Source organism: Homo sapiens, chromosome 17, assembly GCF_000001405.40.
Source record: "Homo sapiens chromosome 17, GRCh38.p14 Primary Assembly".
Taxonomy (NCBI): domain Eukaryota; kingdom Metazoa; phylum Chordata; class Mammalia; order Primates; family Hominidae; genus Homo; species Homo sapiens.
The window spans coordinates 49,126,186-49,143,483 of NC_000017.11; the positions used below are offsets into that span (position 1 = coordinate 49,126,186).

General features: G+C 44.6%; 1 protein-coding gene across 5 annotated transcripts in view; it reads left to right on the forward strand.

Moving 5' to 3' along the window:
- The window catches only part of B4GALNT2 (beta-1,4-N-acetyl-galactosaminyltransferase 2 (SID blood group)), a 56,497-nt gene that overhangs the window by 5,842 nt on the left and 33,357 nt on the right, over positions 1–17,298 (forward strand). For 2 of the 5 annotated variants that reach the window (NM_153446.3, XM_011524314.3), the window contains exons 1-3: positions 6,584–7,034; positions 15,062–15,262; positions 15,850–15,987. In NM_153446.3, coding sequence (NP_703147.2) covers positions 6,841–7,034; positions 15,062–15,262; positions 15,850–15,987 — 533 coding nt within the window. In that variant the 5' untranslated portion in view covers positions 6,584–6,840. Of the gene's footprint in view, positions 1–6,274; positions 6,326–6,583; positions 7,035–15,061; positions 15,263–15,849; positions 15,988–17,298 lie in introns of those variants that run through there. The other 3 variants (NM_001159388.2, NM_001159387.2, XM_017024173.2) reach the window with 3 other exon arrangements.

Sequence of the window (17,298 nt, forward strand, 5' to 3'; positions counted from 1 at the left end):
ATCTATGACCTTACCCCCAACCCTGTGCTCTCTGAAACATGTGCTGTGTCCACTCAGGGTTAAATGGATTAAGGGCGGTGCAAGATGTGCTTTGTTAAACAGATGCTTGACGGCAGCATGCTCGTTAAGAGTCACCACCACTCCCTAATCTCAAGTACCCAGGGACACAAACACTGCGGAAGGCTGCAGGGTGCTCTGCCTAGGAAAACCAGAGACCTTTGTTCACTTGTTTATCTGCTGACCTTCCCTCCACTATTGTCCTATGACCCTGCCAAATCCCCCTCTGTGAGAAACACCCAAGAATGATCAATAAAAAAAAAAAAAAAACAAACTCCGTGTGTCCTAGGACTTACCTAGCTTCAGTGAAGGCCAGTTGTACAGCTAAGAGTTATAGTGGCATTGTATAAAGCATTCAGGAGGCCTAATCACTTTTAAATCGTACATTTCTTTTTTTTTCTTTCTTTCTTTTTTTTTTTTTTTTTTGAGATGCAGTCTTGCTCTGTCACCCCAGGCTGGAGTACGTTGGTTATATTGGTGCAATCTCGGCTCATTGCAGTCTCCACCTCCTGGGTTCAAGCAATTCTCACTGCAGTCTCCACCTCCTGGGTTCAAGCAATTCTCAAGCTACTCAACCTCCTGAATAGCTGGGACTATAGGTACGTGCCACTACGCCCAGCTAAATTAACTTTTGTGTTTTCAGTAGAGACAGAGTTTCACCATATTAGTCAGGCTGGTCTCGAGCTCCTGACCTCAGGTGAACCACCCGCCTTGGCCTCCCAAAGTGCTGGGATTACAGGCATGAGCCACTGTGTCCGGCCTAAATTGTACCTTTCTTGCATAAATTCCCTTTTATAAAATTTTTTATGACTTACACAGACAATTTCTGATGTGCCTCAACTTGCTGACTTGTTGTAAACATTCCTTTCTTTAAACAACCAGTTAATTTACTTCAGGACAAGAATTTACCATATAAGATTCTTTTTTATATAAATTACCTTTTCTTTAATTTCAAGATTAGAAGTTAGGTATTTCACTAAACAGTTCAAGGTGTAGCTATCTTTATTAAACCAATATTAATGTTCCTTTATCAAAAAATTACACAAGCAAAGATTATTCTGTTTGGGCTGAGTTACAGTTTTATAGCCTCTATGCCAAATTTTGACACCTTATAGCATTTGGCAGAGATAAGTATGAAATTGCTTGATTAATAAATGCAAACAAAAATGTATCCTGGCAACTCTTAAGACATTTCTAATCTTACTGTACCAGTAAGTTTTAAAGATTAAAGTCATGTGAACTGAAGGTCCCACAACTTTTACTTTGTCCTTAAAAATGTTTAAGTGCTTATTTTTCTTAGGCCAATTAATTAGAGCTTTTAAAATAGATATTGCACACATAACACATATATAGCCACACAGACAACCAGAAGAAGATCCAGTAATTATAAGATTTAAAAAAAAAAATTTCCCTATTGGATTAATGGCCTTCTGGTGAGGCCCTTTAAAAACAGGACTAGGAAAACAGTTTCCAGGGCCTAATAAACAAGCATAGCTGGAAGACAAAGACAGATTTTGAGAAGCACTTATTCACCTCTAATTCTAGGGGTTCCATAAGGAAAACAGATTTTTCCCAAAACGGGATTCATGGTGCCTTTTTGTTTTCCCAAGGAGTCCCAGGCCACCAGAAGTCATTTTAGGGTCTTTCATATATGCACCAAGAATGGCAAGACAGAGTGGAGAAAAGTAATTCAGTTGATTGGGAGAAAACCTTTCCTAGGAAAATAAGATTTATGAAGAGACAAAACATAAAGGCCTTTTGAATATACTCATAGCTTGGATATCCATTTTAATTAAGCTGAGCACTCTTTTTTTTATCAGGGGTGAGGGTGAAGGTTAGAATTATATAAATGTCAGGCCAGGTTAAAGGATTGGGTTATGTGCGGGAATTCCCTGCGGTAATGAGAGGGATTTTCATAGAAAGATCCTAGGTATGTTTGATTTGCAACAAATCAGACATGGAGAAAGGGCATAAACACAAGCAATGCCTTCACCCCCAGCCACTTTCCAGAGAGGGAGAATGGCAGAGATGATTTGACTGGATGGAGCAGTTTTTGAACGGGTCACAGGTGGAGAAGGAGGGGAAGCGGGGTTTGGGGCTGAAGGCTTGCGGGCAGGAGGGGCTGCCAGGGCAGAGGGTTCAGATGGGTGAGGAGCAGATGCAGAGGGATGAGAATGCAGAGGGGGTTCATCTGCAGGGTCAAAAGGAGTTTTGGAGGAAGGAGTTTTGAAGGAAGGAGTTTCAGGGGAAGGAGAGACCTGGGGAAGGTTTTCATTAAGAAGGATTTCATGAAGGGTGCAAGCTTGAGACAGAGAGGGTCGGGATCTAAAGTAGAAGAAAGCCTGGCCTGAATAGAGAGAACCTCTTGGCGTTTGCCATTCCTGGTTATAAAGTTGTCATTGTCCCTGAGAATTTGAAAGTAAAAGGTGCCATATTTGGGCCTTCGGCTCGAAATTTTAACTTGCCATTATTTAATTTGTACCCGGGCCAGGCCATGTTGCAATAAAAATCTGAACACTTTGGCTTTATATTTCCTGTAAGCCAAGTTGGTGAGGTTGTGAAGGAGACAGCCCAGTGGAGAGGATGTGGGAATGCAGGATTGTTTGGTACCCATGTGGACTGGTAAGAGGAAGCCAAGGGTGTCTGTTTTAGTTCTAGGCATCCCCAGTCAAAAGGCAGAGACCCAGAATCCTCTTTATAAAGAGGATGGTCAAGTTGAGAAGAAACTGGGCATCCCCAAGATTTCTTCTAGCTTAGTCCCACTGGTTCTCTGAAGACCGGGATGGCAGACCTGACTGTCCCGAGTACCATGAGAAAGAAAGGGGAAGGCAGATCTTACCAGTTAGCTGGATTAGTGTCTGATGTTGGATGTTCCAGCTGGAATTGGCAAAGGGCCTCTTGGACTGGAGCCACAAGAAGTGGGGTGGTGGGGAGAGAAAGAGAGAGACAGAGAGAGAGAGAGAGAGATAGAGAGGAGGATGAGGGAGGAGGAGGGGAGAAAGCGAAATACCTGATACCCATTGCAGGCAGTCAGAGGTGGATTCCTGAGACCTGAGGGTTTTGAGGGCTCACTGGAGAGTAGCCCCAGCCCGAGCCTTGCAGGCCCTTTCAGGTTAGTTGTCCTCCTCATGCAAATTGCTCAAAAAGTAAAGTGAGAGACAAGATGGGATGGGTGGCCAGAGACTCTCAGGATCCAGTGGGATGAGCAGCTGCTGTCCACTGCTTCCTTGGTTGCAAGAGAGCCTCTATCCCCAACACCCATCCTGGCTTTCAGCACCAAATGTAAGAGTTAAAGAAAGAGGAAAGAAACACAAAAAGTGGCTCAACAGTCAAAGGTTTATTTTGGAGAATAAACCTGAGAGGGGCTTCTGGCCGATTTTTTGGTCAGAAGCATTCTGTCTTACAGACTAGGAGTATTTATTGGTTTTAGGGTGAGACAGCTTATCACAAGCTTGGAATATTTCTGTGTGGGGGGGGAAGTTTATTGCAGGGTTGGAATGTCTCTGGTCAGAGGAGAGGTTATCTCAGGGCTGGCATGTCTCTGGTTGGGGAGGGATTTATCTTATGGTTGGAATGTTTCTGGTCCGAGATGTCATTTGTGGTTTATGGTCATGCTAACCTTAGCCATTAGGCTGATGCCCTTTGGATTTAGGTGGTTTTTGATCAAGGTGAACTTTAAAATGGTGGTGCTTGTCCAAGATGGTGATGCTCCTGTCTGTCACTCAGGGTAGCAGCAGGGCAGCTGCTTGGCTGTGGTCTAGACAGTCAGGGACCACAGCTAGCTCTGCCAGGCAGAAACCCTGATCAAGCTGAAAAAGAGTAAATATTCTCCTTTAATCCACTCTGCCTTCCTGCAGTCATCCCTAGAGCAGGGAGAGAGGATCTACAACCATAGAGGGTTCACCTTGGAACCACAATCACCAATCACAACACTAATGTGAAGCAAGAGTTATGCCTGAACTATCCTCTTCCCTGCTTCCAAACCACAGATCTGATGGAAAAGAGCTTTCCTACTTAAATAGAGCTGGTGTGGGGAAAAGAGCCACTTTATTTCGAATGCGAATCTGCCTGGTTAACCCCAAGTCCCAGGAGTGCCTCTAAAATGTCTAGTTGGGCCAGGCCCAGTGGCTAATGCCTGTAATCCCAGCACTTTGGGAGGCTGAGGTGGGTGGATCACCTGAGGTCAGGAGTTCAAGACCAGCCTGACCAACATGGTGAAACCCTCGTCTCTACTAAAAATACAAAATTAGCCAGGTGTGGTGGTGCATGCCTATAATCCCAGCTACTTAGGAGGCAGGGGCAGGAGAATTGCTTGAACCCGGGAGGCAGAGGTTGCAGTGAGCCAAGATCACACCACTGCACTCCAGCTTGGGCAATAGAGTGAGACTCCATCTTCAAAGAAAAAAATGTCTAGTTGTGTATTACTCTTTATGTATGAACACTTATTCATTGTAAGTTTTCTTCTTATTGTTGCAGAAACCATAGTTTCTGCCTGTAGCCCCTATGTATTCCTTCTAGGGTACATATGCTTTTTGCCCAAGATATATGCTCTGGGTTGAGGGGTTGTAGTATAGAGATCTACCTGCCTTGTGGTGTCCAGGACCACACTTCTAAGTTCCCTTAATAAATCACCCAATACCAACAAACTGGATTTGTCTACCTCCTCCTTTGGTTTCTCATCTTCTTCAGCATTTGGGGGTCTCTTTGTGTATACAACCCTTTCACAGAACAGCTGGTGATACAGGGGGTTTGAGGGAGCCAGCACTGGCTTTAGAGACACAACTCCTAGGTGAAAATCCTAGCCCCATTACTGGCCACATAAGCTTGAATGAGTCATGAAAGATCTCATAGGCTCAGTCTTCACATCTGAGAAGTGCCTGACAGTGTTATTACAAGAGCTGAATGAAGGACGGGAATGAATATGGAAGCTCTTTGTAAGCAAGGAGGTGTTATACAAATGTCTTTTTTTACCCCCCTACATGCACGTAGTCGGTACAACACTTTTCTGATTGGTCTTGTCAAAGAGGATCTCTTTTCCAGTCTGGAGCTAGAAAATAGTTATCTACATTTGTTACATTAAAACTCCCTTCTGAGAGACTCCCTTTCTCTGCTGGCTGCCAAGGAGCTCAGACCTGAACTTGGGACTCACCTGCATCAAAGTTGTAGATCACGCTGGCATTTCCTTCTACTCTTTTCCAAGACTCACTTTCCCAGACTCCGAAAAAAAAAAAAAAAAAAAAAAAAAGCACTGGCCATTTTTCTTTTTTTCCCTTTTTTTGAGATGGAGTCACTCTCTGTCACCTAGACTGGAGTGCAGTGCCATGATCCCGGCTCACTGCAACCTCTGCCACCTGGGTTCAAGAGATTCTCGTGTTCTCGTGCCTTAGCCTCCCAAGTAGCTGGGATTACAGGTGTGTGCAATCACCCCGGGCTAATTTTTGTATTTTTAGTAGAGATGGGGTTTCACTATGTTGCCCAGGCTGGTCTCAAACTCCTGGCCTCAAGTGATCCACTTGCCTCAGTTTCCCAAAGTGCTGGGATTACACACATGAGACACCGCACCCGGCCCCATTTTGCATGCATTTTGCACGCCATATTTAAAGATTCTTGCCGGTCGTGGTGGCTCACACCCGTAATCCTAGCACTTTGGGAGGCCGAGACAGGACGATTGCTTGAGCTTAGGAGTTCAAGGCCAGCCTGGGCAACAGAGTGAGACCTCCTCTCTACAAATTATTATTATTATTTTTTAATTAGCCAGGTGCGGTCGTGGGTGCCTGTAGTCCTAGCTACTCGGATGGCTGAGGTGGGAGAATCATTTGAGCGCTGGAGGTCGAGGCTATGAGCTATGATTACACTATTGCACTCCAGGCTGGGTGACAGTTTCAAAAAATAAATTCTTGTATTTGTGGCAGCTGGGTCATTAGAATACAATATAATCATGCGTGAGAGGAGCCATGGGAAACACTGAGCCTGGCTTATGAAAAAGGTCCTGCAAATCTAATTTCATCTGAAGTTCAACAGACTCTTTCTTCCAGGCACACAGGCGTTATGTGGCCGCACGGGTCCCTGCCCGTTAGAAGGATTCAGCCACACCCCAGCTTTCCAGTTCCTGGGGTCTTTTGCCAGGACAGTAGGTGTGGAGTGCGTGGTGAAGTGGAGGGTGGAGGTGGGACCAAGGCCGAATTTAGGGACCCCCAGCATGAGCTGCGGGTGGGTCAAGGCCGCGAGGTTGGAGGGCACGGGGACACAGCATAGCGAGGAAGGAACGGTAGGGACCGTGGTGATAGACTAGGGGTGGACGCGGGGATTGTGTTTTTCTTTAAGCGGGAGAGAGAAGCCCGATCACCGGCAGCGGAGGAGAAAAGTCCAGGGTAGAGATGGGGGCGCTGGTGTGGGGGCGGTCAGGAGAGAAGGGCGGGGGCCGTCCCAAGCGTCCTGCACCTGCCCTACTCGCCGAGAATTTGCCCGGGTCGGTGCCAGGGCGGGGCAGTCGGCGGCCTGGCTGCTAGGCTCCGTGACATCCGGCAGTCTGAGGGCGGCGGGATTCGGGATGACTTCGGGCGGGTGAGTGTCCCCGGGGCAGAGCAGAGCGAGAGGTGAAACTTCGGGAGCAGGGAGCGCCGCGGGTCCTTTCTGGCGTCTGCAGAGCGGGCAGGTGCTGGGGACGCAGACGCCGGAGCCAGGGAGCGGGCGGTTGGAGTCTTAAGTCCAACCGGTTCCCCGCATAGGTGGCTGCAGAGGCGAGGTGACGGCGCGTGCGGAACGAACTCTGCACCCCCAGGAATGGGGAGCGCTGGCTTTTCCGTGGGAAAATTCCACGTGGAAGTGGCCTCTCGCGGCCGGGAATGTGTCTCGGGGACGCCCGAGTGTGGGAATCGGCTCGGGAGTGCGGGCTTCGGGGCTCTCTGCTTGGAACTCAGAGGCGCTGACCCAGCCTGGGGCCCGTTTGCTGCCCACGGGAGGAGCCGCCGTCAGGGGTATGTGAGTGCCCGGGCGCGGGGACTGCGGGCTGTGGACAGTCGGGGAGCCCGGCGGCTTGGTCTCCTCCACAGTCCGCGCGGAGTCAGGGAAAAGTCGGTTTTCAAATCCAGGCGCCCACCGCAGGGCAGAGTGAGCTGCGGTTGTGTGGCCCCGCGTGCTAAAGAGCCTCTACGGAGTGATATAATAATTAACGGGGTAAAGTACATTTGAAAGTCTAAATTAATTTTTATAAGCTACGAAGAAGGATCAGACATACATTTGGTATTCTTTTATCCGCAAAGTTTATTTTGTTTGTATTTTCCAAAACTCTAAAACAATCGCTAAACATTGACAAAGAAGTCATCTCACAAAAATGCAATAACATGTTTGTGACATGACATCTTGTAAGCATGAAAAAGAACACGTTTGGCCGGGCGCAGTGGCTCTCATCTGTAATCCCAGCACTTTGGGAGGCCGAGGTGGGCGGATCACTTGAGGTCAGGAGTTCAAGACCAGCCTGGCCAACATGGTGAAACCCCGTCTCTACTAAAAATACAAAAATTAGCCGGGTGTGGTGGCAAGTGCCTGTAATCCCAGCTACTTGGGAGGCCGAAGCAGGAGAATGACTTGAACCTGGAAGCAGAGGTTGCAGTGAGCCGAGATTGCTCCATTGCACTCCAGCCTGGGCGACAGAGGGAGACTCTGTCTCAAAAACAAACAAACAAACAAAACAAACAAACAAACAAACAAAAAGCAGCAACACACGTTGAATAGAGGATTGGCGGAATGGGGGAAAGGAAGGCGGCTTTGCATCCATCCACGTCCTTGGCTAAGGCTTTCATTCCAGCGTTCCCCTTCCCCAACTTCCCCCACTCCACAATCCTTCATGGGTGACTGAAAAGGAGGAAGCTGGGAGGCCTGATACTGATGCGGATAAATTTAAAGCTGGCAAATCCTCGGCAAATTTGACTTTTCCTCCACCTGTGGAATCATGCATAAAAGGTCTGCAGTTTCTTTTTAATTGACAAATAATAATCGTACATATTCATGAGGTACATAGTGATATTTTGATACATGTAGTGATAAACACATACCATAGTGATAAGATCAGGATAATTAGCATATACGTCTTCTCAAACGTTTATCATTTCTTTGTGTTGGGAGCAAACATTCAATATCTTCCTCCTAGCTATTTGAAACTATATTATTATCATTATTTTGAGATGCAGTCTTGCTCCATCACCCAGGCTGGAGTGCAGTGATGCGATCTCGGCTCACTGCAATCTTTCCCTCCCGAGCTCAAGTGATTCTTCCACCTCAGCCTCCCGAATAGCTGGGATTACAGGCGTGCGCACGCGCGCCACCATGCCCAACTAATTTTTGTTATTTTATTTTATTTTTTTTAGACAGAGTCTAGCTCTGTGGCCCAGGCTGGAGTGCAGTGGCGCAATCTCGGCTCACTGCAACCTCCACCTCCATGGTTCAAGCAATTCCCCTGCCTCAGCCTCCAGAGTAGCCGAAATTACAGGCGCACGCCACCACGCCCTGCTAATTTCTTTTGTATTTTTAGTAGAGACAGGGTCTCATCATGTTGGCCAAGCTAGTCCCGAACTCCTGACCTCAAATGATCCACCCGCCTCAGCCTCCCAAAGTGCTGGGAGTACAGACATGAGCCACAGTGCCCAGCCTGATACTATATATTATTGTAACTATGTTCATCCTACAATGTTACAAAACACTGAAAGGCATTTCTGCTATCTAGCTGAAACTGTGTAACCATGCCCTTGGACTTCCTAGTGTTCAGGACCGTGAGCCAAATAAATTTTTCTGTATAAATTACTCTGTGGTATACCTGTGGTATTTTGTAATGGCAGCACAAAATGGATTAAGACAGTTTCTATAACTCGAATAGTTTAAATGTATTTATTTTTCTGGGTACCATTTTAGAAAATTTAGAAGTTAAGATGTTACAGAAATATGTGACAAAGATAGTGCAAACTCAAATTACACATACACACACAGAGTATTTCTGAGCTTCGGTTTGTTCCATTCACTTATTTGCTTATTCCTGAATTGGTAACATGCTTTTAATAACTGTGGCCTTATCATAACTTTGCTCTTTAGTAGTAATATAGCTATCCTTCTTTTTTTTTTTTTTGACGGAGTTTCACTTTGCAACCTCCGCCTCCCAGGTTCAAGCGATTCTCCTGCCTCTACAGGTGCGTGCCACCATGCCCGCCTAAGATGGAGTTTCACCATGTTAGCTAGGATGGTCTTGATCTCCTGATCTCATGATCCACCCGCCTCGGCCTCCCAAAGTGCTGGGATTACAGGCGTGAGCCACCGCGCCCGGCCCATCCTTCTTATTTTTAATATCTTCCTTGCTATTCTTATGTGTTACTTCTAATAAATTTTAGAGTCATTTTGACCAATAAAAAATCTGTTCTGTTAGCCTCTGTGGTGTGTGCCTATAGTCCCAGCTACTCAGAAAGCTGAGGCAGGAGGATTACCTGAGCCCAGGAGTTTGGGACCAGCCAGGGCAACATAGTGAGAGCCTGGCTCTAAAAAAGGAAAATCCTGGCCCGGCATGGTGGCTCACGCCTGTAATCCCAGCATTTTGGGAGGCCGAGGCGGGCGGATCACGAGGTCAGAAGATCTAGACCATCCTGGCTAACACGGCGAAACTCCGTCTCTACTAAAAATACAAAAATAAAATAAAATAAAATAAAAATTAGCCAGGTGTGGAGGTGCGTGCCTGTAGTCCCAGCTACTTGGGAGGCTGAGGCAGGAGAATGGCGTGAACCTGGGAGGTGGAGCTCGCAGTGAGCTGAGATCACGCCACTGCACTCCAGCCTGGGCAACAGAGCGAGACTCTGGATCAAAAAAAAAAAAAAAGAAAATCCTGTTTTGCTTTTATTCATGTGGTTATTATATTAAATTTATAAATTACTATAGAGCAAAGTTACATCTCTACAAAATTGAGCTATTCTAGTCAAGAATAAAAAGAAGGTATCTCAATCTATTCATATATATATTTCCCTAATACAGTGGTAATTTGCTTAATTCTTTATTTGTTCAGTGACAAAATTAATTCTTGATCATTACTAAAAAAGAAAGAAAAAAGAGACTATAGAAACATGTTCATTTAATAGTGCAGATCACAATTAAGAACTTGATGTGTGTCATTTCAGGCATACAATCGAATAAAGTTTTAATTTTTTAAGGGCGCAGATTTTATATTTTATGTATATTCAGTAATTTGATTTTTTTAAAAGGTGCCTTTATTTACTTAGATGTTTAAGCTCTCACATTAGAGTTTATTTATTTATTTATTTATTTATTTATTTATTTATTTATTTTTGAGATGGAGTTTCCCTCTTGTCACCCAGGCTGGAGCACAGTGGCGCGATCTCAGCCCACTGCAACCTCCACCTCCTGGGTTCAAGTGATTCTTATATCTCAGCCTTCCAAGTAGCTGGGATTACAGGTGCCTGCCACTACACTCAGCTAATTTTTGTATTTTTAGTGGAGACGGGGTTTCACCATGTTGGCCAGGCTGGTCTCGAATTCCTGACCTCAGGTGATCTGCCTGTCTCGGCCTCCCAAAGTGCTGGGATTACAGGCGTGAACCACCGGGCCCAGCCTCACATTAGAGTTTTACAAGCTGGTGAACACTTGGCAAATTGTTTCTCCCAGAGAACTACAAGCATACATTCTTACACATTAAACTAATATCAATACACATCACAATTTTATCAATTACATAGTAAAACAAATTATCAAGTATACAAATATTAAGTTACACAGCTTAAAAGGCATGTAATATATCAGATGTCTGCTCAGTTCATTACCAGAAACCCACTTTTTTTTTTCCCCAAAGAGAGATTGACAAGAAAAGGAAAAAATTCACACTTAAACAAAATAACTGTAAACAACTTCCAATAGGTATTTTAAAAATTACAAGCTGTTCAGAAATTTTATGATTAAAAATTGCTTTAGTTATATAATATGGTTTGAATGTGCCCCTCAGAGTTCATGTGTTGGAAACTTCATCCCCAATTAGACAATGTTAAGAAATGGGGCCTTATAAGAGGTGATGAGGCCGGAAGGGCTCTGCGCTCATGAATGGATTAATGCCATTATCATGGGAGTGGGTTCGTTATAGTAGGAGTGGATTCCTCATAAAAGGACAAATTCAGCCCCCTCTTGCTGTGTCTCTCACATGCACTCACTTGTTTTTCCACCTTCCACCATGGGATGATGCAGCAAGAAGGTCCCCAGATGTGGCCCCTGGATCTTGGATTTGCCAGCCTCCAGAACATAAACTTCTGTTCCCTGTAAATTACCCAGTCTCAGGTATTCTGTTATAGCAGCACAAAACCGTACAAACCAGACCAAGGCAGTGTGATAACAGAGCATTGTTTCCTTTTAAAATGTATTTACTAAATTAAAATGTATGTTCTACATATTCTGCACAAGAAAAAAACACATTTTACCAAAAATATTTAATTGTTCCCTCCCATTCTTTTTCAGAACTTAACAGGGAGGCCCCTGTTAAGTTACCCACTAAAATTTAAGCATTCGATGAAATGTAATGTCTGGAGATATTAAAGACATGTGCTTCCATACAGTGTAGATTTTCAAAATGAAAATCCATAACAGCACAAGATGAGACTTAGAGGAAGATGTTAAATGATCACTGTGAGACCTGATTAAAATCCAACAAAAATCAGTGGTTGCACAAACCTGATGTATATTGGTACAAATGCAGTAGATATAAACATAAAGTGAGCAGGCAAATAATCAGATAGGCCCCACTTTCAATGTTTGAAATGACAGGAGGAATAAACCATGTAAGGTCTAGAGTGTTCCTAGTTCCGGGGATTTTAGTTCTGTGTGATACTAAAAATATACAAGTATTGGGCAGGCCATTTAGGCACTTAATCTCTCTAAATTTCCTATATATTAATAAGATTCTAGCATGGCAATAGACTTAAAGATTTATAACTCAAGACTGCATGATTTCAGGAAATGTCGGTTGGTACCAACCATAGGCACATCTTAAATGCTAAAAACCAAGAATCTTTTGCTAAGCGCCCAAGAGATCAAGATCATATGGGCCACCTAAGAGTCTGCCACATAAGTCCCACATGTTTCTTCTTAAGTATCTGCCTGCCTGGGTCATTTTGTGTTATGTTGTTAATTTGAAGCAGATTTCTGCTTTCATTATGTTTTCTGACTTGTTGGCTTATAGAAACCTTTGTAGGGTAGTGGTTAAAAGTGTGGTCTGCTTTTGAATTCTGCATCTGTCATAACCGAGAAAGCAGGTTACTTTTCCTATTTAGCTTCAGCTATCTCATCTGATCATTGCGTGGAGTAATCAAACTTCTCTCAGCCAGCCTTGGTGGCTCATGCGTGTAATCCCATCAGTTTGGGAGGCCGAGGCAGGCAGATCACCTGAGGTCAGTATTTGAGACCAGCCTGGCCAACATGGTGAAACCCCGTCTCCACTAAAAATACAAAGAATAGCCGGGTGTGGTGGTGGGCGCCTGTAATCCCAGCTATTCAGGAGGCTGAGGCAGGAGAATCATTTGAACCCAGGAGGTGGAGGTTGCAGTGAGCTGAGATTGTGCCACTGCACTCCAGCCTGGGTGACAAAGCGAGACTCTGTCTCAAACAAAACAAAACAAACAACAACAAAAGAAAAACAAAAAATAAAACTTCTCTTGTTATGCTGTTGTGAGGATTAAATGAGATAATGCACACAAAGCTCTTGGCAGGGGGTCTAGAACATACTAAGTGGTCATTAGACAATTATTATTATTAATTTTTTTACTATATTTTGTCACCAGGTACCCTATTAAAATCTTACTAATAGCTTCTCACCTCATACATTTTAGTTTTCTGAATATGTAATCATTTCACCTGTAAATAATACTTTTTATTTCCCTTTTCGTTATTTATGTTTTATTCTATAAGCTAATCTTACTGCATTGATTAGCACTTCCATGACAATGTTAGATAATAGCAGTGGGCGTTTTTGTTTTTTTTTTGGAGACAGAGTCTCCCTCTGACACCGAGGCTGGAGTGCAGTGGTGCAGTTTTGACTCACTATATCCTTCGCCCTCCGGGCTCAAGTGATCGTCCCACCTCAGCCTCCCAAGTAGCTGGGACCACAGGCCTGGGCCACCATGCCCAGCTATTTTTTTTTTCAGTAGAGACATTCACCATGTTGCTGGTCTCAAACTCCTGAGCTCAAGCGATCCGCCTGCCTCGGCCCCCCAAAGTGCTGGGATTACAGGCGTGAGACACCATGCCCAGCCTATTATGTTTTTAGAGATGGGGTCTCAGTTGCCCAGGCTGTAATGCAGTAGTGCGATCATAGCTCACTACAGCCTTGAACTCCTGGGCTCAAGGGATTCTCCTGACTTAGCCTCCTCAGTAGTTAGGACTATAGGCACATGCCACGGTGCTTGGCTATTTTTCAATTTTTTGTAGATACAGGGTCTTGTTTTGTTGCCCAGGACGGTCCTGAACTCCTGGCTTCAAGTGATCCTCCTGCCTAGGTCTCCCAAAGTGCTCAGATTATGGGCATGAGCCACTATGCCCGGCGAGGTTACATTTGAATTGCATTGTCAGAACGTATGATCTGAACGATTTCTACTTTATTACAGTTTTCTTTGTGTCCTAATACGTGGCCAACTTTTTTTTTTTTGAGACAGAGTCTCAAATTACCACTGTATTAGGGAAATATATATGAATAGATTGAGATACCTTCTTTTTATTCTTGACTAGAATAGCTCAATTTTGTAGAGATGTAACTTTGCCCTATATTAATTTATAAATATAATATAATATAATTTATAATAACCACGTGAATAAAAGCAAAACAGGATTTTCTTTCTTTTTTTTTTTTGAGACAGAATCTCTCTCTCTTGCCCAGGCTGGAGTGCAGTGGCGTGATCTCAGCTCACTGCGACCTCCGCCTCCCAGGTTCACACCATTCTCCTGCCTCAGCCTCCCGAGTAGCTGGGACTACAGGCGTCCGCCACAACACCCGACTAATTTTTTGTATTTTTAGTAGAGATGGGGTTTCACCATGTTAGCCAGGATGGTCTCGATCTCCTGACCTCGTGATCCACCCGCCTTGGCCTCCCGAAGTGCTGGGATTACAGGCATGAGCCACCACACCCGGCATATGTGGCCAATTTTTATAAATGTTTTAAGAGCTCTTTAACAGAATACAAATTATATCATTTTGTTGTTCTGCTGCTTTAAAATATTTTTGAGACTTGATCAAGTGAGACATGTCAGCATCTCTAACTATCTTTGTATTTCTAATCCTTCTTTCATATCCTGCCATTTTTTACTTTGTATACTTTAATGCTATTATTAGTGGATAAAAGTTCACGGCTATCTGTTTTGGTATCATGCATTGATCACTATAAGTGGTCTTTCTGTCCTATTTAATACTCTTTTTTATTGCCTTGAATTTAGCTATGCTGACATTAACATTACTAACCTTTTTTTTTTTTTTTGAGGAGTCTCGCTCTGTCGCCAGGCTGGAGTGCAGTGGCGTGATCTTGGCTCACTGCAACCTCCGCCTCCCGGGTTCAAGCGATTCTCCTGTCTCAGCCTCCCAAGTAGCTGGCACTACAGGCACACGCCACCATGCCCAGCTAATTTTTGTATTTTTAGTAGAGGCTGGGTTTCACCATGTTGGCCAGGATGGTCTTGATTTCTTGACCGCGTGATCCGCCTGCCTCGGCCTCCCAAAATGCTGGGATTACAGGTGTGAGCCACCGTGCCCAGCCTCTAACCTTTTTTTTTTTCTGGATTTTTTTGCCATCCTTTTATTTGTAATTTTTCTAAGTCCCTTTGTTGCAACTTGATTCTTTCCTCCTCTGTTTATCAGAAATCGATTTTAGTGACCAATATAAGCTATGTGCTTAGCTTACATTTTTCCTGAAATTATCAGTCTCATATACATTACATAATCAAGAAAAAAGATTTTAACATAATCTGTTCTTTTGTGTCCCAACAGCTCGAGATTTCTGTGGCTCCTCAAGATATTGGTCATAATCCTGGTACTTGGCATTGTTGGATTTATGTTCGGAAGCATGTTCCTTCAAGCAGTGTTCAGCAGCCCCAAGCCAGAACTCCCAAGTCCTGCCCCGGGTGTCCAGAAGCTGAAGCTTCTGCCTGAGGAACGTCTCAGGAACCTCTTTTCCTACGATGGAATCTGGTGAGAGACTGCGTGTTCTTTCTTTCACCTTAATGCACACATCTTCCTTGCTCCTCCTCAAGTACCATGCCCTACTGTGCCCATTGTACAGATGGTTCCCTTGCTTTCCTAAGCCTGTGCTGAATGCACAAGTGACTGCAAGCCAGGATGGGGCTTGGTCTGTACGATCCAGTCTATGTTCTCTATAGCATCCAGCAAAATCCCTTAAAACTTTCGAGAGCATGTAGTTTTTTTTTATCAAAACTGCAGAAAAGATGCTGCTTCTCTGTCTCTCTGCCCTCCTTTTATGGTGGGGTGAGATACAACTGACAGTCACGTGGCTCTCAGATTTAAAGAAGTTAGGTGCAGGGGACAATTCAAGAGAGGAAAAGTCTTCAGCCTTCCTCTGTCCCTGCTTCCCTCCCTTTGTCCCCTTGTCTCTGTGAGGGGCCAGTGCAGGGGACTCCAGGGTCTCATCATCTCAGAACAGTTGGGTGTAGGAAAGAAGATTTTCAGGGTAAACTACACACTGGATTAGGACTCCGGTTTCCTCTCACCCACCAGCCTACCCACCCAATCCATGTTTACAGTCCTCTTGCTTGTTTCAGGCTGTTCCCGAAAAATCAGTGCAAATGTGAAGCCAACAAAGAGCAGGGAGGTTACAACTTTCAGGATGCCTATGGCCAGAGCGACCTCCCAGCGGTGAAAGCGAGGAGACAGGCTGAATTTGAACACTTTCAGAGGAGGTAATGCGGGTCATGAAGGCCCTTGGGTTCTGAGATGGAACAAAAGCCCTCCCTATGTCCTGAGGTTGTGAATCTTAAGAGAAAAAGCAGGAAGGAATTCTCTCTCTTGCAAGGGTCCCTGGGAGGAACTATTAGGAATGAAACAAAGAAGGAATCGAGGAAATCATCCTTAAATGAAGATTTACAAAACTTTGTATGTACAAAACATTTCATAACAACAACAACAACAACAAAAAGCTGGGATTGGTGACACATGTCTGTCATTCTAGCACTTTGGGAGGTCAAGATGGGAGGATAGCTTGAGCCCAGGAGTTTGAGACCAGCTTGGGCAATATAGTGAGACCCCCATCTCTACAAAACATTTTTAAAATTAGCCAGGCATGATGGTACATGCCTGTAGTCCCAGCTACTCAGTAGGCTGAAGTGAGAGGATCACTTGAGCCCAGGAAGTTGAAGCTGCAATGAGCCAGGATCACACCACTGCACTCCAGCTTGGGCAACAGATTGAAACTGTGTCTCCAACAAAAGCAAAAACAAAAACAAAAACAAAAACAAAAAAAACAAAAGGAATGGAGATAGTTTGAAACATCTGGTGGTACATCCTCCATGCACCCAGGCCATCATAGCAGGTGATTTTGTAGTCATCACCAAGGTGCCCTATTTTATTCATTTATATGTTGAGAGCATACTACCCTGTGCTATATGCAAGGAGTGTATCCCTTTGTTTTAAATTACAAGGGGTGTCAACACTCAGGTGTATCAACCAGGGTTGTTGGTTGAAAAAGGCAGAATTTGGCTGGGCGCGGTGGCTCACGCCTGTAATCCCAACACTTTGGGAGACTGAGGTGGGCGGATCACTTGAGGTCAGGAGTTCGAGACCAGCCTGGCCAACATGGTGAAACCCCATCTCTACTAAAAATACAAAAATTAGCTAGGCATGGTGACGCACGCTTGTAATCCCAGCTACTTGGGAGGCTGAGGCAGGAGAATCACTTGAACCCAGGAGGTGGAGGTTGTAGTGAGCTGAGATTGTGCCACTGCCCTCCAACCTGAGCAACAGAGCAAGACTCCATCTCAAAAAAAAGAAAAGAGAAAAAACAAACAAACAAACAACAACAACAACAAAAACAAAAAAACAAAAAACAAGAAAAGGGCTGAACTTGATTCTGCCTGGCTTGTATCAAAAGGGAACTTGTTAGAAGGATGCTGGGGCCTTACCAAATCCATAGGTGGTAGGATGTCCAGGCTAGGAAATCAGGTAAGAACTAACGGAGCACTGAAGAACTGGTCAGGCTCCAGGGCCATCTGGTC